At 42.9% G+C, this 27,516-nt stretch overlaps 1 protein-coding gene across 4 annotated transcripts in view, besides 1 other annotated feature; it reads right to left on the bottom strand.

Annotated features, from left to right (window-relative positions):
* The window catches only part of TMEM178B (transmembrane protein 178B), a 437,233-nt gene that overhangs the window by 325,739 nt on the left and 83,978 nt on the right, over positions 1 to 27,516 (bottom strand). The gene's annotated exons all lie outside the window — the stretch shown is intronic.
* Positions 26,028 to 27,227: an enhancer, noted in NCBI's record as "BRD4-independent group 4 enhancer chr7:140858131-140859330 (GRCh37/hg19 assembly coordinates)". NCBI's record gives its function as "activates an origin of replication core promoter dependent on BRD2, P300/CBP, MED14 and CDK7 cofactors, and independent of BRD4, by STARR-seq in HCT116 cells {active_cell/tissue: HCT116}" and the evidence as "EXISTENCE:reporter gene assay evidence [ECO:0000049][PMID:35650434]".

Below are 27,516 nucleotides of genomic sequence, written 5' to 3'. Positions count from 1 at the left end.
GGAGGAACACACAAGCGGCTGCGCGTTGAGGGCATGTTGGGAGCACACCAACAGGCACCCACATGCCAGCAGGCCACTGACCTGCTGAACGACATGGAGTTTGGCCAGGGCAGTCGGAGGAGAGCCCAGGCCGCTGAGCGGCCTGACTCCAGGGGAACACCATCTCCCTTCTGGCTCCCTCATCTGCTGAGAGCTACTTCCACTCAGTGAAACCCTGCACTCATTCTCCAAGCCCATGTGTGATCTGATTCTTCCAGTACACCAAGGCAAGAAACCTGGGATACAGAAAGCCCTCTGTCCTGGAGATAAGGCAGGAGGCTAATTGAGCTAACACAAGCCACCTACGGACGGCTAAACTAAAGAGCACCCTGTAACACACGCCCACTGGGGCTTCAGCTGTAAACATTCACCCCTAGATACTGCCGTGGGGTTGGAGCCCCACAGCCTGCCTATCTGTATGCTCCCCTAGAGCTTTGAGCAGCAGGGCACTGAAGAAGTGAGCCACACCACCATCGCACATCCTGCGAGGGGTGCAAGGGAACTTTTCCCGTTTCAACTGCGCTGAGCTTTAGATGTGTCTGGCCACGTCCAGAGGGTCAGTAAGGCAGCTGCAGCTTAGAGCAGAAGTGCTGATTGGAATTCAGAATATCTAAAGTCTAGTCCCAGGGTTACCTGTGTTTTCCTCTCTCTGGGTCTTCCAGAAGTTTATTTGTACCAAGGATCAATGAGTCGGCCAGGAAAATATTCATCCTGAGAAAAGGGTCACTGCGTGTAAACTTGGTCCAAGGACAATAGATCATAGTGAGGAGAGGGGGATTCCAAATGCAGGGGGATGTGTTGCTTTGGAGTTCCCCCAAGCTCCGTGCTCTGGGAATTGATGTCATAGCCCTAGAGAAGAGAAGTTTAACAAAATAAACAAAGAGCCCACAGCCAAAAGTCCCCACAAGACATTGCCACACACCCAAGGCAGCACAAGTAGGTGAAATTGACTAGGAGAGCAGAGGCTCCCACATATAAGACATGGGGAGTGGCAGGAGACCCTCAAAGTTGGGGCTAAATAGACCATAGTGTGGGTCTTGCTGGCAGAGAGGACAGGGTGAAGGAAATGTCAGAGCCCTCCAGGTAGCCTAGAGTCAAGAGCATTTAGAAACACGTAAGACACTCCTGGGGACTCTCTGAACCCACTGGGAAGAATTTGAGGGTCCCTAAAGAGTAACAGTGGGGGAGGAAGGACTGAAAATCAGGCTTAAAACCTGATCCAAGACAATAAAGCAACTGCAGATCTATCACATCAATCAGGTAAAATCCAGTGAACAAATACCAAGCAACTGTGAAAAATATTGTTCAAGATAATAGAAATATGGCCTCCAGAATGTTACATAGATTACTAGGCCCTGATATTTTCCTCAAGCTTTAAAACCAATTGCTGTTCTCATTGGTAATGGCTGATAGCCTGTGCTGTTCTGCAGGGAACTCTGCAAAGGAGAGGAATCCCCCAAGAAAACTCACAAAGAATGTCTCTCCTTTAATAAAAACCCACCAAGTGCAGGGACGAGTTTCCAAGAAGCATCACTGGTTGAAGGCTGACCTCAGAGAGGTCCAGTTCCATCGTGTCTGAACGTGATGCTTCTTTGCTGAGGCCAAACCTGGCTGTCCTGCACACCAAGGAGGCCGCATGCCGGGGCTAATTCCACCATGAACCAGCACGTGGATAAACCCACATTCCTCAGCTCAGGACCTGTCACTTCCAGAAAATGCTCTTATTTCTCAAACATCATAATCATATACATATTCATAATTATCCATCATTCATGTCATTAGGTATCATGAACAACACAAGGTGCTGGGTTGAGAAAAGTAAGAAAATGCAGTCTCGGCCTTAGCAGGTAACAATGTCATCTATTTGGAGAAGCAAAAAGGAGGAAGATGAGAAGAAGGAGGAGAGAAGGCAAGTCTAAGGAATTGTTGCTTTAATAAACATAAAGAACTATGTGGTGACTAACACATCAGTGTTTAGGATATAAATAGGTGTCTCTAAATTGTTTGAAATCAGAAAATGATACTTATTTACATTTCTAATACAGATAAGTAACTGCTTTTTTGTAGGTAACACAAAGAAAAATTTCAAACCCAGCTGTTTGCAGAATGAAAAGGTCTGACTTAAGAGGGCACTAATTTTTGCCACTTACCAAATTAATTTCCTGTGCATTTTCAACAATTAAGGGCAAATCAGAGGACCCAGAATTTGAGAGGGAACATTCTAATGACAGGGTGGGCTGTGAAGGCCGCCAGAGATCACAAGCTGTTCCCTCCCACCCTTGGTTTATTAACCCCATGCTGCTGAAAGAGTTCAGGTCTGGAAGAGGTCAAGGACAAAATGTTTACTCTGAGGTCCTCTGACTCACAAGGTGTTAGGATGTATAGCCAACATTGTTTTTATAATCAGGAATACTAGCCATTAAGGCAGTGCACTTCATTCATTCAAGCACATATGATTCTCCAGTAAAAAGGTCTGATTAGTGACAAAATTCAGGACTTTGACATACTTACTTCAATGTCTGATGAACATCATTTCAACATGTTGACTATTCAAAGCTGTATTAGTTCGTTCTCACAGTGTTAATAAACACATACTCGAGACTGGGTAATTTATAAGGGAAAGAGGCTGAATGGATTCACAGTTCAGCATGGCTAAGGAAACGGTGGAAGGCAAAGGAGAAGCAAAGGCACATCTTACGTGGCTCAGGGAAAAGAGAGCTTGTGCAGGGGAACTCCCATTTACAAAACCATCAGATCTCATGAGCGTTATTCACCACCACAAGAACAGTATGGGAGAAACCGCCCCACGATTCAATTATCTCCACCTGGCCCCACCCTTGACAGTGGGGATTACTACAGTTCAAGGTGAGATTTGGGTGGGGACACAGCCAAGCCATATCAAAACCCAATGTCCCTATCAACTCTTCTGTTTCCCTTACTAATTCTTTCCGGCCAGGTGACCCACTTCTCTTCTCTTACCTGTGTGATTCCAGATGGACTGTGCCCTAGAACTGGACTGTTTGAGGCTTTAACACACAATAAATTCTTGACATATGTTTGTTAAAACTCATGTTTAAATACATATAAGGGGAATATACAATACAGGGATGACCAGTATAACAAGCCAGTATAATAAGTTTGAGACCTTAACACACAATAACTTCTTGACACACAAGTCAAGGACCAGGGCTGTTGGCCCCACCCTCTTGGACCCAGTAGGAAGAGTCTAAAGAGTTTCCTGGCTGCACACAACATGTCCTTAGTTATGCAGGCCTTCTCAATCGTGGTGGCCTGAGGCTGCTGCCCGGCGAGCATGCATGAGTTCCCCCAGTGCCCAGGACACTTACCTGGTTCCAGACCCCTGACTGTCCAGGCCCCCAAAATCTTTCTCTGTGTCATATTCTCATAGGTCTAGTTTCAAGGCATGAGAACTTCAAAAGTAAGCCAATAGGAAAGGGTGTGCACTGGGAATGAGCAGGGCTGGGTGAAAAGACTGCTCAGCTCAAGGTCTAGCCTGAATGATAATGACCCCCAGTCTAAATATCAGTGTCGCTAGTGAAAACTAGATTAGTTCACAGGCAAGGGATCCAAGCTGGTAGGTGGACTCCAGCAGCAGGACTCTTTGGGTTGAGGCGAGCCTCCTAGTTGGGCAGCCAGTAGCACCATAATTCTAAAGAAAGTGATTGCGGATCCTGAACAGGATCAGCACCCAAGGAGGAAGACTTACCAAGAGTTTTCAGGAAATAAGGGATGCAGTTTAGCATGATAACATTCAAGGACCAGAGATAAAAGAGGAGTATATGTGGCTGTGGCTCTCCTGGTCCTAGCTCGTGGTTGTGAACCCGAACTCACTGTCACCCTAGTCTTGTCATTGACAGTTAATGCTAATTGCAGATTTGAAGTGACAAAGTTACATTTATTTGCAAAGAAATGCAATGTTAATGGCAGAACTAGGGCACAGGATATAACCTCCCAATCCACTCATCTCAAATATTTCCCTCTGTGGGAAGCCAGCCTACACTGAGCCCTTTATGAGACAGTCAGCCTACATGGAGCCTTTTCAGAATCGACTGGTCTACACCAACTATTTCCAGAGTCAACCTGTCTACACTGAGCCTCTCCTTAGTTAGCCAGCCTACATCAACCCTTCCCCAGTCAGCCAGTCTACACTGGTCATCCTGTATTGTATATTACCACTGTATGTACTTTATCATGAGTTTTAGCAAAAGTGTCAAGAACTTATTGTGTGTTGAGGCCTCAAAGGGCTTACAATCTAATGATACATTTGAAGATGTATTTATGAACACATCATTGTAATGACACACACTTGCATTTGTTCCTAGTCTCTGGCTGTTTCATGTATCTAATTTTGCCTCAAATACTGAAAGGTAAGTTCCCCAGAGAAAGGATCATACCTTCTATGGCTTTTGAATCCTTACCATGCTACCCTATGCAGTTCACTATCATACTTGGCACATGAGGAATGGAGAGATGGATGGATGAATTGACAGATGGGTGGATGGGTGGATGGATGGGTGGGGAGGAGGATGGATGAATGGATGTTGATGGAATTTTCCTTACATGGAGCCTTTTTTAAATGGGATTTAGAAACAACAGAGGACAGGGCACAATAAAACCTAGAAGTTTACAAGTGGAAGTGAATTTAGAGATATCTGATTACATTTCTCATTTCACAGATAAGGAAACTGAGTGCCAGAGGAATTAGGAGACAAGTCTTAGGTCAAACCACAAGTAATAGATAATTATACAATTTGAGAACTTGGAGACACTACTGTCCTCAGCAAGGTGGTATTGAAAACTAAAAAGATAATATGTCAAAACAACCCATTGTATTAATTTGGATATTCCCAATTATGTGATACAATAAGTCTACAAGTGAAACATTAATTTTGTTCCCATGAAGTGACTAAAGGAAGGGAGGCCTCTGGGCAGAGGTAAACTAGAAGACAGGGCTGGAACAAATGACATACTTTTGCATGGATTTGTAGATTTATATTTTCTTTTTCTTTCTTTCTTTTTTTTTTTTTTTTTTTTGAGATGGGCTCTCTCTCTGTCTCTCTCAGGCTGGAGATCGCAGTGGTGCGATCTCAGCTCACTGCAAACTCCACCTCCTGGGTTCAAGCGATTCTCCTGCCTCAGCCTCCCAAGTAGCTAGGATTTACAGTGCCCGCCTCCAAGCCTGGCTAATTTTTTGCATTTTTCATCATGTTGACCAGGCTGGTCTCAAACTCCTGACCTCAGGTGATCGACCAGCCTCAGCCTGTGCTGGAATTATAGGCATGAGCCACCACGCCTGGCCTGTGTTTTCTTTAGATTCATAATTTTTTAAAACACGGCCATCAATTCTCCCCCTCTACCATTTTGACATATCGATGATAAGCACAAAGAAAAACACCATTTCTCTCTATACTGTGTCACGGAGAGTTATGGACCACCAGCCATTTACATCTTAAGTTGGTTTAATTAAATTGCTTTCCTCTTAAAAATGGGCTGAGATGGAAGACGTGATGGAGGTGGTTTGGGAGCATGGGGCACTGAAAGTGTGAGGGCCTGAGAAGAGTAGACAGTTGGAGCTTTGGACAAACCGGCGAGGCCAGGAGAGACAGAGGAGTTGTGGGAGAAGGCTACAGAAGGGAGAGTAAAGTGCATTAAGAACTAAATGGGACAAAATCAAACTTCATCTTCTTTGCAGTGTGGCCAAGGGTCAGCCTGGCCCTGGGCTCTCCCATGGCCCTCGGGACAGAGGACACTTGTCCAGGATGGCCTGCTCTGACACTGGCATTAGAAAGGCTTTCCCCTCAACCTCACCCTTCATATGGTGCTCTGTCCCTAACCACTTAAATCCCACTCCCTGCAGCCCTTTCTCTTGTAAAGGTCAGTTTAAATTCTAAATATTTTCAAATAGAACTTGAACTACAACTATTTCTCTAGACCTAATCTTTTGCTGTCAGCAAGTTCACAGGGAAAAAAAAATCAATAAAGAGATTAGTTTCCAGTGACACTGCATATTACAGTAGCAGCACATTGCATCCATGCAACCATTTCAAATGATGACTTTTTATCAGAAAGCCTCTCCTTGCCTTCTGTCCCTCAAAAGAAAAAAATTAACTTACCAAGAAAAGTCCCTTTTTTTCCAAAATGTATCCATTTTTTTCCATTGGCAAATGCTGCCACTACTTTGCCTAAATTATTATTAACCCTTCAAATCAGGCATTAACTTTTATAATTTTCCAATATTAATATAGCCCTTTATCCAGAAAACTAAACTAGGCTGGAGGAGGGCATTTTCCTCCAAATTTCAGAGAAGCTATGCAAGTTCTAGCAAGTACATCTAGACCTTTAGCTTTCTAGTCTGAAGTCTTATTCTATAGACCAGTGGTTTCCAGTTTGATGTCAAGGGCTTGTCCATAAAATCAGTAGCTCTCTAGCAGCACAGTTCCACCTGAATTATCTGAAGGGCACTTACAGATCAACCTCAACTAAGCAAAAGTCAGCTGAGAACCCAAAAGCAAGTGAAAAGAGGTTCGGAACAAGCCCAACACCCATTCACAGAAAGTGCACATTCTTTAGTCGCAGGAGAGTCCCTCGGGCCTCCATTCAGAGCCTGCTGCTGCTTCCTCTAGACAAAAGTCTAGCAAAGTTAAACTGTGTAATTTTGGAGGCCACGGAAAATTATAACCAGAAAGAACTACTGCTAAAAGCCGGCAAACTGACAGCAGCCAAGAGGTTGTCTGTGGTTGTCAAAGTAGGACTCAGGAGAAAGAAGATCTCAAAAGCCAGAACAACCTGGGGCCATTCAGTGCAGGGATCACCATGGAGCACATAATTGCATTACAGCAAAACAGAATACTTGACCTTTTGATGATGACAGCGTATCACCAACGTATCACTTTAAATCATGGCTAAAACAAGCCAAGCCATTTAAGAAGGAATAATTTCTACAACCAATTCTATGGTTATTGTCAATGAAATTGTTTTAAGCTTTGTGTAGGTTGCCACACAAAGCGTAAGTAATCTGGACATTTAAACTTTGTGGTCCAGCTCATATGTCAATGATTATAGAAGAAATGATTAGGATTATTACATTAAAGTGGATAGTGCTAAAACGCTTCTATGTCTTCCCAGATGCATAATTTCTTTACAATAATTAATATTTTTAAAGAAACACCTTCACTAGAATCTCTTCAAAGTCTATTCTATCCAGTCTGCTAAGAAATGTTTTTGTGGGGGCCAATATTCAACATTCTTAAAGAAAAGAATTTTCAACCCAGAATGTCATATCCAGCCAAACTAAGCTTCATAAGTGAAGGAGAAATAAAATCCTTTACAGACAAGGAAATGGCAGAGAGATTTGTCACCACCAGGCCTGCCCTACAAGAGCTCCTAAAGGAAGCACTAAACATGGAAAGGAATAACCGGTACCAGCCACTGCAAAAACATACCAAATTGTAAAGGCCATCGATGCTATGAAGAAACTGCATAAACTAATGTGCAAAATAACCAGCTAGCATCATAATGGCAAGATCAAATTCACACATAACAATATTAACCTTAAATGTAAATGAGCTAAATGCCCCAATTAAAAGACACAGACTGGCAAATTGGATAAAGAGGCAAGACCTATCAGTGTGCTGTATTCAGGAGATCCATCTCATGTGCAAAGACACATATAGGCTCAAAATAATGGGATGAAGGAATATTTACCAAGAAAATGGAAAGCAAAAAAAAGCAGGGGTTGCAATTCTAGTCTCTGATAAAACAGACTTTAAACCAACAAAGATCAAAAGAGACAAAGGGCATTACATAATGGTAAAGGGATCAATTCAACAACAAGAGCTAACTATCCTAAATATATATGCACCCAATAAAGGAACACCCAGATTCATAAAGCAAGTTCTTAGAGACCTACAAAGAAACTTAGACCCCCACACAATAATAGTAGGAGACTTTAACACCCCACTGTCAATATTAGACAGATCGATGAGACAGAAAATTAAAAAGGATATCCAGGACTTGAACTCAGCTCCAGTCCAAGAGGACCTAATAGATATCTACAGAACTCTCCACCCCAAATCAACAGAATATACATTCTTCTCCGCTCCACATCACACTTATTCTAAAATTGACCACGTAATTGAAAGTGAAACACTCCTCAGCAAACGCAAAAGAACGGAAATCATAACAAACAGTCTCTCAGACCACAGTGCAATCAAATTAGAACTCAGGATTAAGAAACTCACTCAAAACTGCACAACTATATGGAAACTGAACAACCTGCTCCTGAATAACTCCTGGGTAAATAAAGAAATGAAGTTAGAAATGAAGTTTGAAACCAATGAGAACAAAGACACAACATACCAGCATCTCTGGGACACATTTAAAGCAGTGTGTAGAGGGAATTTTATAGCACTAAATGCCCACAAGAGAAAGCAAGAAAGATCTAAAATCGAAACCCTAACATCACAATTAAAAGAACTAGAAAAGAAAGAACAAACAAATTCAAAAGCTAGCAGAAGACAAGAAATAACTAAGATCAGAACAGAACTGAAGGAGACAGAGACACAAAAAACCCTTCAAAAAAATCAATGAATCCAGGAGCTGGTTTTTTGAAAAGATCAACAAAATAGGCCACTAGCCAGACTAATAAGAAAAGAGAGAAGAATCAAATAGACGCATAAAAAATGATAAAGAGGATATCACCACCGATCCCACAGAAATACAAACTACCACTGGAGAATCTGTAAGCACCTCTATGCAAATAAACCAGAAAATCTAGAAGAAATGAATAAATTCCTGGACACATACAGCCTCCCAAGACTAAACCAGGAAGAAATTGAATCCCTGAATAGACCAATAACAAGTTCTGAAATTGAGGCAGCAATTAATAGCCTACCAACCAAAAAAAGTCCAGGACCAGACGGATTCACAGCCGAATTCTACCAGAGGTACAAAGAGGAGCTGGTACCATTCCTTCTGAAACTATTCCAAATAATAGAAAAAGAGGGACTCCTCCCTAACTAATTTTATGAGGCCAGCATCATCCTGACACCAAAACCTGACAGAGACACAACAAAAAAAGAAAATTTCAGGCCAATAGCCCTGATGAACATCGATGTGAAAATCCTCAATAAAATACTGGCAAACCGAATCCAACAGCACATCAGAAAGCTTATCCACCATGATCAAGTCAGCTTCATCCCTGGGATGCAAGTCTGGTTCAACATATGCAAATCAGTAAATGTAATCCATCACATAAACAGAACCAATGACAAAAACCACATGATTATCTCAATAGATGCAGAAAAGGCCTTTGACAAAATTCAACAGCCCTTCATGCTAAAAACTCTCAATAAACTGGGCATTGATGGAACATATCTCAAAATAATAAGAGCTATTTATGACAAGCCCACAGCCAATATCATGCTGAATGGACAAAAACTGGAAGCATTCCCTTTGAAAACCAGCACAAAACAAGGATGCCCTCTCTCACCACTCCTATTCAACATAGTATTAGAAGTTCTGGCCAGGGAAGTCAGGCAAGAGAAAGAAGTAAAGTGTATTCAAGTAGGAAAAGAGGAAGTCAAATGGTCTCTGCTTGCAGATGACATGTTTGTATATTTAGAAAACTTCATTGTCTTAGCCCAATATCTCCTTAAGCTGATAAGCAACTTCAGCAAAGTCTCGGGATACAAATCAATGTACAAAAATCACAAGCATTCCTATACACCAATAACAGACAAACAGCCAAATCATGAGTGAACTCCCATTCACAACTGCTACAAAAAGAATAAAATACCTAGGAATCCAACTTACAAGGGATGTGAAGGACCTCTTCAAGGAAAACTACAAACCAATGCTCAACGAAATAACAGAGGACACAAACAAATGGAAAAACATTATATGCTCATGGATAGGAAAAACCAGTATCGTCAAAATGACCATACTGCCTAAAGTAATTTATAGATTTAATGCTATCCCAATCAAGCCACCATTGACTTTCTTCACAGAATTGGAAAAAACTACTTTAAATTTCATATGGAACCAAAAAAGGGCATGCATAGCCAAGACAATCCTAAGCAGAAAGAACAAAGCTGGAGGCATCACACTACCTGATGTCAAACTATACTACAAGGCTACAGTAACCAAAAGAGCATGGTACTGGTACCAAAACAGATATATAGACCAATGGAACAGAACAGAGGCCTCAGAAATAATACCACACATCTACAATCACATGATCTTTGACAAACCTGACAAAAACAAGCAATGGGGAAAGGATTCCCTATTTAATAAATGGTGTTGGGAAAACTAGCTAGCCATATGCAGAAAACTGAAACTAGATCCCTTCCTTACACCCCATACAAAAATTAACTCAAGATGGATTAAAGACTTAAATGTTAGACCTAAAACCATAAAAACCCTAGAAGAAAACCTAGGCAATACTATTCAGGACATAGGCATGGGCAAAGACTTCATGACTAAAACACCAAAAGCAATGGCAACAAAAGCCAAAATTGACAAACGGGATCTGATTAAACTAAAGAGCTTCTGCACAGCAAAAGAAACTATCATCAGAGTGAACAGGTGACCTACAGAATGGGAGAAAATTTTTGCAATCTATCCATCTGACAAACGGCTAATATCCAGGATCTACAAAGAACTTAAACAGATTTACATGAAAAAACAGACAACCCCATCAAAAAGTGGGCAAAGGATATGAACAGACATTTCTCAAAAGAAGACATTTATGTGGCCAACAAACATATGAGAAAAAGCTCATCATTACTGGTCATCAGAGAAATGCAAATCAAAACCACAATGAGATACCATCTCATGCCAGTTAGAATGGTGATCATTAAAAAGTCAGGAAACAACAGATGCTGGAGGGGAGGTGGAGAAATAGGAATGCTTTTACTCTGTTGGTGGGAGTGTAAATTAGTTCAACCATTGTGGAAAACAGTGTGGTGATTCCTCAAGGATCTAGAACTAGAAATACCATTTGACCCAGCAATCCCATTACTGGGTATATACCCAAAGGAATACATATCATTCTACTATAAAGACACATGCGCACTTATGTTTATTGCGGCACTGTTCACAGTAGCAAAGACTTGGAACAACCCAAATGCCCATCAATGACAGACTAGATTAAGAAAATGTGGCACATATACACCATGGAACACTATGCAGCCATAAAAAAGGATGAGTTCATGTCCTTTGCAGGGACATGGATGACGCTGGAAACCATCATTCTCAGCAAACTAATGCAAGAACAGTAAACCAAACACCACATGTTCTCACTCGTAAGTGGGAGTTGAACAATGAGAACACATGGACACAGGGAGGGGAACGTCACACACTGGGGCCTGTCAGGGGGTGGGGGTGGTGCTAGGGGAGCGATAGCATTAGGAGATATACCTAATGTAGATTATGGGTTGATGGGTGCAGCAAATCACCATGCCACATGTATACCTATGTAACAAACATGCACATTCTGCACATGTACCCCAGAACTTACAGTATAATTTTTAAAAAATGTTTTTGTGATGGAGGACTTGACTGATTAGAAAGGTAGAGAATCACTTCTCACACTTTCATGGTCTCTTCCCCTTGCTTGAGTTGGCACAAAACACAATGCTGGCCCCTATTAAGTCTATATATGGAGTTGAGTCAAAAGAAAGGAGAAGGGGTTACTTTGAAGAGTCCAGAGACTTAATATGGCAATGGCTAATGTATGACACAAGTAATCCTCCCCCACCCATGGCAAACTTGGCCAACCAATCCAAAACTAGTATAAGACTTCAGAATCCTTCCCTCAACACAAATTCAGACAAACATTATGATTGATTGAGGTTGACATTCAGAAGGAAATGATCCCAGGCATAAGTTATTATTCAATGACCTTAAATTTGATTTATATATTGTCAGGGTTGCAAGTTTCTCATGTGAGATAGGCTATCTTCTTTGATATCTTCACATCCTTAGTTGTGACTGCAGGCCAATCTTTCAGTCTTGACTCAAATACTCCCGCCTCAGTGAAGCCTTCCTTGGAGGCAGCGTGGTCAGGGAGTAACTGACTCGTTCAACTCTGTTTCCATAACATTTTGTATATTATTGATTCAGCTCAATCAGAAAACATTTACTGAGCATCTACTTTGTGTCAGGCATGGTACTAGGTACTGGGGATATAAATTTACACATGACATTGTTCTTGCCTTCGAGGAGCTTACAGTCTACCTTGCAGTATTTACCTCTGTTTCAAGTTCCTTAAGGGGAAAGGCAAACTCTCACTCAGCTTCAAACTAGACTACTTCTCTATAATGTTCATTCCAGTTGCACCATTCGTTACACGATCCATCATAGAATTCTCAATGTGGTATATAGACTCAGACCCCAAAACTAACCAATTTTTCAAGTACCTACTCACTTTTCTCAATACCACATTAATTCTAGTGATGGATTCCTGGATCCCCAGAGCCAAGTATAATACTCAGCAGTCTCTGGGAGACTTAGCTGGTCACCCTGTTCAGACGTAGAATCTGGACTTCAACAGTGATATTCTGATATTCATGCACACACATAGTCACACACACCACAATACATCTGTGCAGATCTCATCTGTACAATACTATAAGGAATAATTTAATCAGGATTTAACAAGGAGAACAAAAGAATTAATGGAGAATGACGATTTTTGCTTTGAGATGGAACTTACACAAAATTAAGTACAGCAGACTAGAAGTACTACACCTTTACCATCTCATAATCACTAATTGTTCCTCCCTTAGCCAATGTGGCCAGCAATCATTTCTGTTCTCATCCATTCCCACTATATCTGCTCCTCAGGTCCTCCTCTGTGGCATCCTGTGCTGCTGGGAGGTAACAGAGTCCTGGTCAGTTACTTCTCAAGAGGCTCTGAAACCGAGCCTGCTCCTTGTAGATGCTAGACACAGCACCACTTGCTGAGGTTGCAGGGCCCTGAAATTTACTCTGGTTCCCTGTTCCAGGGGCCCCTCCTCAGCCTTGTTTTGTCTGCTTCACTGCATGTCTAAGATGGTCTTGGTTTCCTTTCTGGTGTGAAGAATAACTTTCAGCTTACATTCAAGATGAAAAATACTCCCAACACTCCCCATCAAGGGCAGAGACATGGAGTCTGGTACTCCCTATGTAACATGATTAATATCCTCCCAGGCAGCAGCAGATCAGAGGTTTCACTCTTGAACCCAGTGCCTAACACCATGCTAGCATCTGGCAGACTCTCAATACACATTTGTGAATGAATGAATGAATGAGATGAAGCGAAATTATGAAATAGACTACTTTATGTTCACTGTTCTGTGAGTTGGAATACTGATTCCAACTCTGTAACCTTGGGGAAGGTATTTAATCTCTATATGCCTCAGTTTCCTCATCTGTAAAAGGGCAATGTGTAACACACAGCATCCGTGAAAGGAATACAGAAACCATGTATCAAGCACCTACTACGGTGCCTGTCTCATAGTAAGTACACAATAAATGGTCGCAATCACAGCACTAGCACACAATAGGTACTCAACAATTACCTGTTGAGAATTAATGTGTAGAGGCTCCAACAAGACCTGAAGGCACACATGCCTCTTGCCATTGCCCTTCATTCATTCATTCATTCATTCATTCACAAATGTGTATTGAGAGCCTGATAAATGCTAGCACAGTGTTAGGCACTGGGTTCATGGTGTTAAGCTGGCCCACATTTGCACATGTTCACACTGCCTTGCTTAACTGTCGCCTCTCTACCCCCTGCCCTGTCTAAGACACTGTCTTTGTCTGCTGGCTCTCTGCTGTGACACCACAGCCATCCCCTCTGTCTGGAATTTGCATGCATCACTCAGAAGACAGTGTCATGCGGGAGACCGAGGCCTGGCAAGGTGGTCGTGCATCCCCACTTCAGAATAAATAATAGGCGTGAGTCTGGCCAACCCACAGCCCAGAAACACCAACTAGCAGAACAGTCAAAAGACCTGAGTTCTAATTCTGTCTCCATCACTTGCCAGCTAAGTGATTGTGGGCAAGTTACTTGAGCTCCCAGACTGTTTCCCAGTCAGTAAAAACGATTTCACAGAAGTACCTACATCATAGCATTGTTATATAAACAAAGTAAGATAATGTGTGTAAGCACTTAGAACACTGCCTATCACATAGTAAAAAGTCTAAAATTTTGGTTTTTTTCCAGAGACAGGGTCTCACAATGTTGCCTTGGCTGGTCTCCAACTCCTGAACGCAAGGGATCCTCTGTCCTCAGCCTCCCAAAGTGCTGGAATTACATGCATGAGCCACTGCACCCAACCTATTTTTAAATAAACAACAGGCCTACCCTGAAGAGCTAAGAGTAGACTAGAAGATTCAAAAGTGAAGAGTTACACTTCAAGTATTTATTTTAATTTATATTTAGGGTGTGTGTGTGTGTGTGTGTGTGTGTGTGTGTGTGTGTGTGTGTGTGTATGTGTGTGTGATGTGTAGTCTGAACCTGTAATAACCATTCAAAGGCTGTAGATCAATCACAGAGTGAAGTAGAACATGTAAGTCACATGACATTGATTGACAGAGGAATGCCGACTGTGCCTTGCAGTTTGGCGTATTCAGGGTCAGGCACAGGACTTGTGATAGTGCGGCTGGGAAGGTAGAGCAACAGCAGTTAAATGAAGACCTGACCAACAGGGGCTGGTCCAGGATTAGTGCTGCCTAGGGCACTTCCAGATATTTCCCTGTTAGCGGCTATGTCTGTCCCCGCCCCACAGTCTCAACTTTGATACAGCAATGCATTGCACACAGTCCTTGTCAGCTGGTGGGAACTTAGTGGCAGCCATTCTGGGAAGGGTCATTTGGAGCAGATATGGGGGGGAATTTGAGAGGCAATCAGTTACACCATCGGTAACAGCTGACCTTTGTATCATTTGCAGAGCAATTCCATAAATTCCATTGTTTGATCCTTATAACAACGAGAAACAACTGATGGTTCCCATCTACAGGTGAACACTATGAGGCATACTCAGATTAAGTCACTTACCCATGATCTCATGGCCGGTCACAACACACTCAATAAAAAACTGAGAAGAGCCGCAGTGAAAGAAACAAGGTATAATCCACTGTAAGACGGATTATACCTATTTTGGGGGTCCTGTAAGAATTCCAAAAATTACTCATTATAAATGGAAGGGACTCTATCCAGGGACTATTCAGATCAAGAAAATTAACTCACACTTTGGTGACAGAATAAATTAATACAAACATATGAATAACAATATGAAAATACTTACCAGAAACCATGAAAATGCCCAGTCTTTGACCCAGTAATCACACTTGAGAAAACTTAGGCTAAGGAGAGAACCCAAAGAATTTTAAAGTTATACCCAAATAATGTTTATTGCAGCTGTATCATGGCAAAAATGTAGAAATCTAAGTATCCAATAGTAATGGAAAGCCAAAGAATGTGAAATACACACTTGATTGTATTTATGTAGCAATATGGAAAAATATTTGCATAAGATTGAAGAAAAATCTTAATTTATGCAAAAGAAATTATGTATTCATGTGAACAAACAGTGGAAGGGAACATACACTATTGAAAACAGTTTGATTTGACCAAGAAGATTGTGGTGAATTTTTTATCTTTCTTTAATCCAGAGTTGCACAAATATTGCTAAACATTATTGGCATATAATATAAAAGTCTGAAAATCAAAACGTGGAAAATTGTGCTAGAATCTCTAAGGTTTCTAATAGCTCCAATAATCTCTGTGAGCCTTTTGAGGCCAGGACAAGTGTCTTTTTCACCTTTGTATCCCCAGAGTTTTCTGCAAGTGATTATTTTCTCCATAAATACTGAGGAAATGCTACAAGCAAGCATGTGGATGATTCTTTGCAGAGCCTGTCAGAGCCTTGATTACCCCAAGAGCCAGGTGTCTAGATATTAGCCAGATGAATGTTCTATTATAAAAATACATGCACACGTACATTCATTGTGAATAGTGATTCACAATAGCAAGGACATGGAATCAACCTAAACACTCATCAGTGGTAGACCAGATAAAGAAAATGTGGCACATATGCACCATGGAATACTATGCAGCCATAAAAAAGAATGATATTATGTCCTTTGCAGGAACATGGGTGGAGCTGGAGGCCATCATCCTTAGCAAACTAAAACAGGAACAGAAAACCAAATACCACATGTTCTCACTTATAAGCAGGAGCTAAGTGATGAGAATACATGGACACATAGAGGTGAACAACACACTGGGGCCTATCGGATGGTGGAGGGTGAAAGGAGGGAGAGGATCAGGAAAAATAACTAATGGGTACTAGGCTCAATACCCGAGTGATAAAATAATCTGTACAACCAACCCCCATGACACAAGTTTACCTATATAACAAACATGTACCCCTGAACTTAAAATAAAAGTTAAATTTAAACACATAAAATATTCAGGAAGAACTAATTTTTAAAAGAGGAGATCAGAGGAATGGATTTGGAATGTTTCCAACACAAAGAAATGAGAAATGTTTGAGGTAATGGGTATCCCAATTGCTCTGATTTGATCATTACACATTGTATGCTTGTATCAAAATATCACATGTATCCCATAAATACATACAATTATTATGTCCCGATAAAAATTAAAAAGAAACAAAATGAAACAAAAAGAAAATATCCAGGAGGAATCATCTTCTTTTTTTTCTTTTTTTTTGGGGGACAGAGTCTCCCTCTGTCGCCCAGGCTGGAGTGCTGTGGCATGATCTCAGCTCACTGCAACCTCCACCTCCCGGGCTCAAGCGATTCTCCTGCCTCAGCCTCCCAAGTAGCTGGGATTAGAGGTGCTCGCCACCACACCCAGGTAATTTGTATTTTTAGTAGAGATGGGATTTCACCATGTTGGCCAGGCTCGTCTCAAACTCCTGACCTCAAGTGTTCCACCCACCTCAGCCTCCCAAAGTGCTAGGATTACAGGCAGAATCATCTTTTGAAAGAGGAAATCAGAGCAAAATCTGGGGAAGAGAGTGCTGGATTTAAAAATTTCTCAGTTTGCCCCTTTGATGTAGTTCCACAAATTACAATCCCCAATGCCAAGTGCACAAGAACAGAATAGCCTTGGTTCCCATTCTCCAAGGCCTAGAGACCTTCTCCAAGGCAGGATGTGTCTCTGGAAGGAGATGCCATGAAGTTTGCATTAAATTGAAGGTCACCAGAAGAATGACTTGAAGCCACGAGCCAACCAAATTACACCAAGTCAAAGGCATGAAATATCAGAGATCTTTGGATTAGAAAAGAGAGACAACCCAGCTAGGTAGGTGATCCATCTCCACCAGCTCAAGCAAGTCACTTAAACACTATGGGACTCAGATTCCCGGTCTCTGCCCTGGCCATCTCGCAGGGATGTCATGAAAATCAAACATGTTAAGAAAATGTGCCTGAAAAAGATGCATAAACTTGAAAGTGCTATCTATAGAAGAGTCTGGCTGCAGCAAATTCACAATAAATGTTGGAGCTAAGTGAGTGCATGAAAGCGTGAAAGGAAGCCAAATGATTATGAGATTTTTACAAAAATGTAGGGGCAAATATAAGGTGGGATGCTGGTCTGTGTTCAGAGCAGCAGGAAAAAGCTGCTTCCCTGGGGCACAACGGGTAGGCTTCTCAGATTGCTGGCAAATTGGCCTTGGGAGGAGCCACCAGGGCACACCGGCCCTGTCCAGGGCTGCATTCCTTTACAGGGCCTTAAAAGGGTAGAGCAGCCTCAGAATCAGGAAGAGAGCTGCCCTACATTCACTAATTATGCATTTGAGGACAGCACAGGCCTGAGCATTTGACAAAATTTTAAGGGATTGAAGGGAAGCCCTTTGTGAGAGGGCACATCAGACATGGGCTGTGATCAAAGGGACGAAAAAGAGCGAGGGATGTCAGTGACATAGATCCAGGCCCTTTGTACACGGTGACGTGATTAAAGGCACAAATCCACTTCAGAGTTGTCATTCCTAATAGAACCTGATGGGAATGAGGAGCAACGAACTGGCAGGAGGGCAACACGATTCGCGCACACTCACAGTGACTACCTCATGCCAACTTGCTACTGAGGGCCCCAGGATGCTGAGATACGCAAGACAGAGTGTCCTATATTGGATCTGCTTGCAGTCATACAGAGAGACAAATGACAGTGAGGGGCATTTGGGGTAACAGACGCATGGGCGAAGAGGCGATTTCTTAAGTCCTGCATTGAAGGACAAGATGTAGTACTCACGGGCAACTCTAGATAATGTGTCAGGAGACTAGTTCCATGTGTCCTCAGAGCAAAGCAAAGAGCCCAGAGCAGCTTCTGCTGCAAGGGACCTTAGATCACATAGGTCAACACCCTCATTTTAAAGATGAGAAGACTGGAGCCCAGAGAAGTTAAATGACTAGCTATAGGCCACACAAGAAGCTACTGGCTATGATCTTTAACATTGTCATTTTCCAAACATAATATTAAGTGATAGATACGAATCTGGCAGAGTTAACATGAGACTGAGAGGAAACCGTCTGTTCCAAGTCACCCATACAAGGACAAGAAAGGGGAATGAATGCTTGTTAAGAGGAATCTGTGGGTATCAAACTTCAGGAGGAAAAGCAATAGCCAGAAAGGGCACACTGCACTCCAGCCATGATCACAGTGTTTAGCTCACATCTGCAGGAGAAGCTGTCCTTGGTCTTTTCTCATTCATCTTTCAAAACTAAAAACCCAAAGGCAAGACTTGGCAGTGATCAAGTTCTTGGTTCCTGGTGCCACTCTTTGTCCTAAAAAGGAGCACCTGATACATGAAAGACAAGGTTAGGGCAGGTTCTGGGACGTTCCTGTGGGTCTCCTGGGTAGCAGCCCTCCACATCCCCAGGAATGTTTCTTCCTATCCCCTCTTGTCAGTAGATACTAGAAGGTGGCTCTGATCTTTGCAAAGCTTTCTAGCCCACCCCATCTCTTATGGCAGTTTCCAAAGGAGCTACCTTCCCTTTATGAAGACTAAATATGTTCTGGGGAAAGCAAACATATCAAACACTAACATGGATGCACTGCTGCTTCCACCAGCTCACGCTGGTGTGAACTACTCAAAAGGATTCCTCCATTGGGATTCCGACACAGAGGAAAGTTGACTGTTCCCAATGATCAAATAAATCCAGCAGGACCCTTACTTCCTGATGACCTCTTAGCACCTGTCTGGTTGCAGTCTGTGTTTCTCACTCTCCTAGAGCCCAAAATGGCCCCTTAGAGAGCACTGTGGATCCTGCACAAGGGGAACTTCATAATTGGGAAGAAGGTTTCATCTGGGTCCCACCTACTATAGGTCTACTGGCCCAGAGTCTGAGTACAGCAATTGTGGCAAATGCTGCTGGTTGTCTTTGACTATCCAGCCTGCTTTTTCTTCCTCAGGAACAGCACCCCAATTTTTAGCTAGCTAGGCTTGTCGCTTCCTGGAAAGAAACAAATAAAGACTACATTTCCACGGCTGTCTCATAGCTAAGTGGGGCCATGTAACAATGCCCGTGGCTAACAAGGACAGTCCCTCACTATGTGCCGTGCACAATGCTAAGCACCTTTCTGTACATAAAGTCACTTAATCTCACAAAAACCCTATGAGAGACACAGTGATTATCCCATTTTTACAGGGCAAACATCCCAGAGAAGTTAAGTAATTTTCCCAATTCATACTGTTAATGAGTGCCACAGCTGAGATTTCAACTCAAGCGGCCTGACCCCAGTCAAAGCTCTTCACCACTCATTACACTACACTAAATTCCAGCTGTAAAAGCAGAAGTTTTGTGTTGAACTTCCAGGAACATGCCTTTGAAAGGAGGGGGTTCCAGGAGGTGGAGCTGAATGTTCCTTCCTTGAGTGTGAGCTGAACTGAGAGACTTGCTTCTAACCAAGAGGGTCTGGAAAGGGAAATAAAATAACTAGACAGTGGAGAAACCTGGCAATCACCACCTTAACCAAGTGGTCAAGGTTACCATTGCCAGTAGTAAGGCATGCTGATATCATGGACTTTGATATGATGCAATGAAAGGGGGCTTCACTTCTGTGAAATTCTCCCCAAAACCTAATAACCCAGACTATTCCGTGAGATAACATCAGAGAAACTCAAGTTGAAGAGCTTTCTATGCAATGCCTGACCAATACTCTTAAAAACTATCAAGATTGTGAAAAACAAGAAAAGATGGAGAAAATATCACAGGTTGAAGGAGACTAAGAAGATATAATGATTACATGCAACGTGGGATCCAGGATTGGATCCTGGAGCCAAAAAGGACATTAGTATAAAAATAAGCAAAATTCTAATAAATAATATTATCAGGTTGATAATATTGTACCAATGTTAATTTCTGCATTTTGAAAGCTGTACCATGGTTTTGTAAGATGTTAACATTAGGGAAAGTTAAAGGAAGGATACACGGAAACTCTCTGTACTATTTTTGTAAATTTTCTATTAATCTAAAATTATTTCAAAATAAAATGTCTTTCAAAAAGGAAGAGGCAAGTGCTACCCTTCCCATTTCTTCCTATTGCTTACCTGTTAAATGATGGTGATGCTGGAACCCCAGCAGCCCTATTGATCCATGAGGTGACCCTGAAGTCACCTTGAGGATAGAAGTCATGTCCTGAGGATAACAGAGCAGAAAGATGGAGGCCTAGATCCCTAATGACGACACTCATTGCCCTCTTATCAGCCCTGAACTCCTAGTTGCAAACCTCTTTTTCTTATGAAAAAGAGAAATCACCTGTAACTTCTATAAGCCACTTATTTGGGGGTTTCCTGTCAAATGCAGCCAAACCTAATCCTTGTTAATAACAGCAATAGAATGAAAACCTGTGCAATTTCTATCACTGATATAAAAATTAGAATCTTAGCCTTGGACTTGGTCTTAAATTCCATCTAGTCCAAATTGTCATTTTTCACATGAGTAACAGAACCAAAGAGCTGAAACATGTGCCCAGGTCCCATCACCGGCAACAAAGCAAACACAGAAACCCAAGTCCTGTCCCAGTCCAGCTTCCTCCACTGGGTCTCACTGGTTGGTGAGAATTCCAAAAACCAGCATTGCAGCATTAATATAATTGCACCCATAAAAGTCAGGGTAAAATACTGCAATGCAGGTTTTTTCTGATTGTCACACTGACTCGCCTATCTCACTCTAATGATAACATTCTGAAATTTTACATTTCGGAATAGATTACTGACCACAGCAATACGTCTGCAAATTATAATTTTGTGAATTTCACATTTTGAGTTTCAGGAACCAAAGACTCACATATTAAAAATGATGCATTTGTTATATTTACTTGGTTTTCATTAAAAGGGTGTTGTACAAAGGAAAATGTGTACTATTGTATCTATCAAAGAGTATTATATTCAGAAAAAAATAAGGTTTCAGTAGTTACGGTCACTAATAACCTAAAAACCCAGGGAAAGTCACTTCCCCAATCTGAGTTACAAATGTCTTAGTCTGTAAAATTAAAGGATTAGCTGGGATTTGATTTCCCATGGTTTCCTTGTAATTCTAATAATCAGTAATTTCACAACACTAAAAAAATCATTCAGTGTTCACTATCTATGTATAAATGATTATTTCAAATATCTATACCTTTGCATTCTTCACTAAATCTGCTTAAAATATGCTGTTTGCTGGCCAGGCATGGTGGCTCACCCTGTAATCTCAGCACTTTGGGAGGTTGAGGCAGGCACACCACTTGAGGTCAGAAGTTCAAAGCCAGCCTGGCCACATGGTGAAACCCCACCTCTACTAAAAATACAAAAATTAGCCAGGCTTGATGGCGCTCACCTGTAATCCCAGCTACTCGGCAGACTGAGGCATGAGGAACCACCTTGAACCTGAAAGGCAGAGGTTGCAGTGAGCCAGGATTGCACCACTGCACACCAGCCTGGGCCACAGAACAAGACACCGTCTCAAAAAAAAAAAAAAAAAATTGCTGTTTGCTAAATAGAGAATACCAATCTGTGGTAGACTGCATTAATGATCCCAATTCTTCACCCTTCTCTTTGCTATGAAACATCACAGTTTCTCTCACCAATGAAGTAGAGTCGTTATCCCTGCCCCCTGAATCTGAGCTCAGCCACATAACTTGTTTTGGTCAATATCATATGGTGAGAGTGACAGTATGCCAGTTCCAAGCCTAGGCTTCCAGAAGGCCTACATATTTCCATACTTGTGCGGCTTCCACCATTATCATGAGAATTACATGCTTTGGCTAGCTTGCTGGTTCTGGTAGGGGGATAAGTACATGAAGAACCGCCCTAGCTAAGGCACCTCAGGCAGGCTCTCATCAACCTAGAGATGCATGAATGAGTCCAGCCAAGAAGCAGAACCATACAGCAGAGAACAGAACAGATCTATTGCACCCTGAAGACACTGGAGAAATAATGTTCATTGTAAGCCACGGAGGCTTTGTGGTTGGTTGTTACACAGCAAAAGCTAGCTGATACACTGCTTTAAAACCTCAACTTTGAAGGGAATCTATTTTTGGCAAGCACTGGCTATATGCATATGCCATAAAACGTTCTACAGGAAATGGATCTGGTTTGCTAGTGAAGTGAGGGATCCACATGCACGCTTGGCACCACATGCACAATCAATCCTTTGCCCACAAATGGATCAGGAAATCTGCCTACACACTCTCTGGAGCTTTATTCTTCACTCCCATAAAAGCACATTCAAATGCTGAGTTATCTACACAATACCACCTCTTGAAATCATGATTTAAAAACCATTTATACCAGACCCCATCTTTTGCTGTGCCTAAATTCAATCCAACATGCCTATTTTGATTAATGAAATAAAATGCTAGTGTTGGTACCATGGGACTGAGATTCTTTCCTAACTATGCATTGGTAAGAAACTAAATTAGATGTCAACATCCTATAATGGGATGAATATTGCTTTTATTCCCATAGGCAGTAGTGCTAAAAGGCAAATGTATTTAGTTGGGCCCATTTTGCTTATTTTTCAAACATTCCACAATTACTTATTAAGCTTCAACTTGCTCTATGTAAACATTGTTCAGGTGTCAGCCCTGGGTGTGGGCAGCATCCGGAACCAGCAAAGCCCAGGGTGTATCGCATGCCAGCAATGAGCAGACAGGGGGTCAAAGGACGGTCAGGCCACAGAGCCCAGGGACAGCTGAGGGATGTAAAACATGAGCGGAACAAGGTGAGAGGCAAGTGGCTGGAGAGAAAGAGCAGGACAACAGCCAGCAGGAGCTGCAGGGCGCAAGGCGTCACGCGTCAGCCTCCAAATCAGAGATGGCTTCTTGTTTTGTTCTAGGCTTCTCTGCAGTTCCTGTGGGGAAACGGGGAATCCTAGGGGAGCTGGCCAAGCCCTGCAGGTGGAGAAAGGCGGTTATTGGCACCTGACTGTGGGGCATCTGGAAAATTAGCTCCTGGCAAGGGAGTGCTGGCTGCTCAGCGCTGGGAAGGATGCCTCCCTTTCTGCCTGCAAGTGCACACAGACACACACACTCTCATGCTCTCTCACAAATCCTCACACAAACACACACATTCTCACATGCTCTTGCACACTCAGACCACACTGCTGCACTCATATACCACACAGCTGCACACTCACATGCCACACACTCTGCTTCTCTCACACACTCACCACCCTCACAAACTCTCATACACACTCTTCACACACAAACACACACACTGTCACACACACCACCCACTCTCTCACCTATACAGACACACACACAGTTGTCAAGTTCTGTCCAGCCCACCTCAGAAGTGTCTCTCACCCTCTTCCCAGGCACCCACGCCCAGGCCCGCACTGCCTCCCACCTGTTCCCCTGGAAGAGCCTCTGGATCTGGGGGACCACTGCTGCCAGTCCCTCAACCCACCCAGGCCTTCCTGCGCATGGTCACAAATGACCTTCATAAAACTCAGCTTTGATCTCGTCACTCTTCTGCTAAGAAGCCATTGATTCTCCCAGCATGACAGAATAATGGCCACACAACAGACCCACAAAGGCTCTGGCTTCGCTCCTGGGTCACCGTCTAGGCCTCCTCCCACTTATTAGAATCCTCTGCCTTTCCCAGCTCACCTCCAGCAGAGCCTTCCCGTCGAGCCTTTCTGCAGCCCCGTGGCTCAGAGTAAAATCCCCTCCCTCTGTGGCTCCCTCAGACCACTCACCACCTCGTCATCCACCATAGCCCTGGCCACTCTCATCCCAATCTTGTCAGACAGAAGCTCTTCGAGACAGGTCCTGTGTCCCATTCATCCTTACATCTCTCTTCCCCTTCCTTCATGCTTTGAGCATAAAAGAAATCCAGGCCGGGCGCAGTGGTTCGTGCCTGTAATCCCAGCACTTTGGGAGGCCAAGGTGGGCGGATCACGAGGTCAGGAGTTCAAGACCAGCCTGACCAACGTGGTGAAACCCCATCTCTACTAAAAATACAAAATTAGCCAGGCATGGTGGTGCATGCCTGTAATCCCAGCTACTCAGGAGGCTGAGGCAGAAGAATCACTTGAACCTGGGAGGTGGAAGTTGCAGTGAGCCAAGATCGCACTATTGCACTCCGTCCTGGGCAACAAGAGCAAAACTCCGTCTCAAAAAAACAAAGAAAAAGAAATCCAATAAAAATGTGTTGAATTTAAGGTTAATAATTGAATCTCTATGCAGGCCAATTAATTGTGTTAATCCCACATCCGACCAGTTCCCATCACTGAGCACAAGCTCAGTGTACCAGAGATCATGGCTGGTTCCAGGTGACTCAGACCCACCATAAGGAAAACGGTGCAGAACATATGCCCCATGTGCCCGCTCTCAATAGTCACTCAAACACAGGCCTCAGAAAACACCACTTAACAAGCAGTTATGGAGCATGTGTCATGTGGCAAGCACTCTTCTGGCCACCAAGGCACAGTCAGACAGCAGGTTAGGGAGGCAGAGAGCAACGTGATCCATCCTAGAGAATGACGACACTAGCAAGGCCAAGATAGGTGGGGATGTGGCAGAGGGAAGGAGGGGCAAGGAGGAGGCAGTGACCTGCCAAACCAAGTCTCTTCTGGGAGGAGATGCTCAGGCCAGTGGGACAGCAAAAGCCAGTGAGCTCGGAGCCTTCAAGGAGAAGTGAAGCTGGTGCCGGGGTATCACTGTGTACCAGGGCCCAGCATGGGAGGCTGGTGAGTTAGAAGGTAAGATATAGACAGCTTGAAATTCATCACCTCACATAAGAAGGATACAGTGGCCTTTGAGGACTCAGGGAAAGGGGTGGGAGTGGGGTGAGGGATAAAAGGCAACACATTGGGTACAGCGTACACTGCTCGGGTGATGGGTGCAGCAAAATTTCAGAAATCACCACTAAATAACATCCGCGTAACCAAACACCACCTCTTCCCCAAAAACAATTGAAATTATATATATATATTATATATTGATTATATATTACATATCTAAATTATATATATTATATATTAAAATTATATATATATATAAAATAAACAATGCTTCCCCATTATTGAACAATTTTTTTAAAATTCACCACCTTAGCCATTTTAACAGCTCGGTAGTGTTCAGTTCATTCATGTTGTTGCACAGCCAAACTCCAGGATTATTTTCATTATGCAAACTGAAATTTCACACCCATTAAACAACTCCCCATTCCTCCATCCCCCAACCCCCTGACGACCACCCTTCTACCTTCTGTCTCTATGAATTTGTCCATTCTAAGTAGAAAGAATATTCTATCTCATATAAGTGAAATCCTACAGTATTTGTCTTACTGTGTCTGGCTTACTTCGCTTGGCATGATGTCCTCCAGGTTCATCCGTGTTGTAGCGTGCGTCAGAATTTCCCTCGTTTCTGAGATGGAATAATATTCCACTCTATGAATATGCCACATTTTGTTTATCCATTTGTCTGTCGGTGAACACGTGGGTTGCTTCCGCCTTTTGGCTACTGTGAATAATGCATTTATGAACATGGGTGTACAAACATCTCTTCAAGACCCTGCTTTCAATTCTGGGGGGTGTATGCCCAGAAGTAGAATTGCTGGATCATACAGTAGTTCTATATTTAATTTTTGGGGGAGCTACCATACTGTTTTCCAGAGCGAGGAGCTGGGATTTTAAACTAAGTGAAACTGGAGGTCATTTGACAGTTTTGAGCAGGTGAGTAACATGATTTTATTTGGATTTTTAAACCATCCCTCTGGCTTGGTAACACATAGGATAGATTGTGGGAGCAAGAGTGACTGCAGGGAGACTACTGCAGCTAGAAGGTCATCATGAGGCCCTGGAAAGAGAAGAGGGAAGAAAGAGGAGATGAGGAGATGTAAGCAACCATCAGATGGGGATAGAACAGGGGTGCAGGCAGGAGAGGTTGGGAAGGGGCCGCTGAAGATGGCTGAGTCCCTGGATGCATGGTGACATCATTCACAAAATCAGAGAAAAGCAAGGGATATAAATATCTTTAAATAGTTCACAAAAGGTATCAAAGCCCTGCCCAACCTCTTCCTCATTTCCCTTGTCCTCTCCATCTCTAATTTTTTTACAATCCTAAATTTCCATTTAACCTTCATTCTCTCAGGCTCCCTGTCTGCCTCCTCAAGAACAGAAAGTGACTCATCAAGAGGTCACCCACAGGACCAAGACATTACTGAAGCATGCAGGCTTGTTCTTTCGGCATGCAGGCTGGCAGGAAGTCAGACCGCATCTCCAAGCAGAGGCCTGAGAATTGGCCAATCAGCCATCCACACTTGTCAGCAGATCCCAGTGCTCAGAGGACAGCGTGAGATCTAGGCATCCCCAGCTGGGCTCCAGGCAGAGAGTGACCCTGTCCACAGGTTCGGCCTCTTCTCAAGTCCCTGGGAGTCTTGTTCTTCCTGCTGGTCTTCTTGTCCTTGCCACATTTATAGATAAAGGATGGCTTTGGGGAGGCTGAGATTGGTCTTTAAACATTCAACAAATATTTACTAAGCACCTATTGTGTTCTTAGCAACATCCGGATATAAGGGATACAGACATTGATCAGACACGGATCTTGCTCTTGAAGAACTTTCAGGACAGACATCAATTGGCAACCTGAGGGGCCAAGCATGGTGGCTCATGCCTGTAATCCCAGCATTTTGGGAGGCTGAGGCAAGTGGATCACTTGAGGTCAGGAGTTCGAGAGCAGCCTGACCAACATGACGAAACCCTGTCTCTATTAAAAATACAAAAATTAGCCGGGCATGGTGGTGCATGGCTGTAATCCTGTCTACTTGGGGGGCTGAGGCAAGAGAATCGCTTGAACCCGGGAGATGGAGGCTGCAGTGAGCCGAGATTGCGCCACTGCACTCCAGCCTGGGCAACAGAGTGAGACTCCATCTCAAAAAACAAAAAATTGGCAATCTGAGGCCACACAAGCTTAAATACCACATGGTAAAGAGAAAGAGACTGTTG

The sequence above is a fragment of the Homo sapiens genome, chromosome 7 (assembly GCF_000001405.40).
Source record: "Homo sapiens chromosome 7, GRCh38.p14 Primary Assembly".
NCBI lineage: Eukaryota > Metazoa > Chordata > Mammalia > Primates > Hominidae > Homo > Homo sapiens.
Note: the sequence above shows the minus strand (reverse complement) of the source record. Positions and strands in the feature narration are given on the sequence as shown.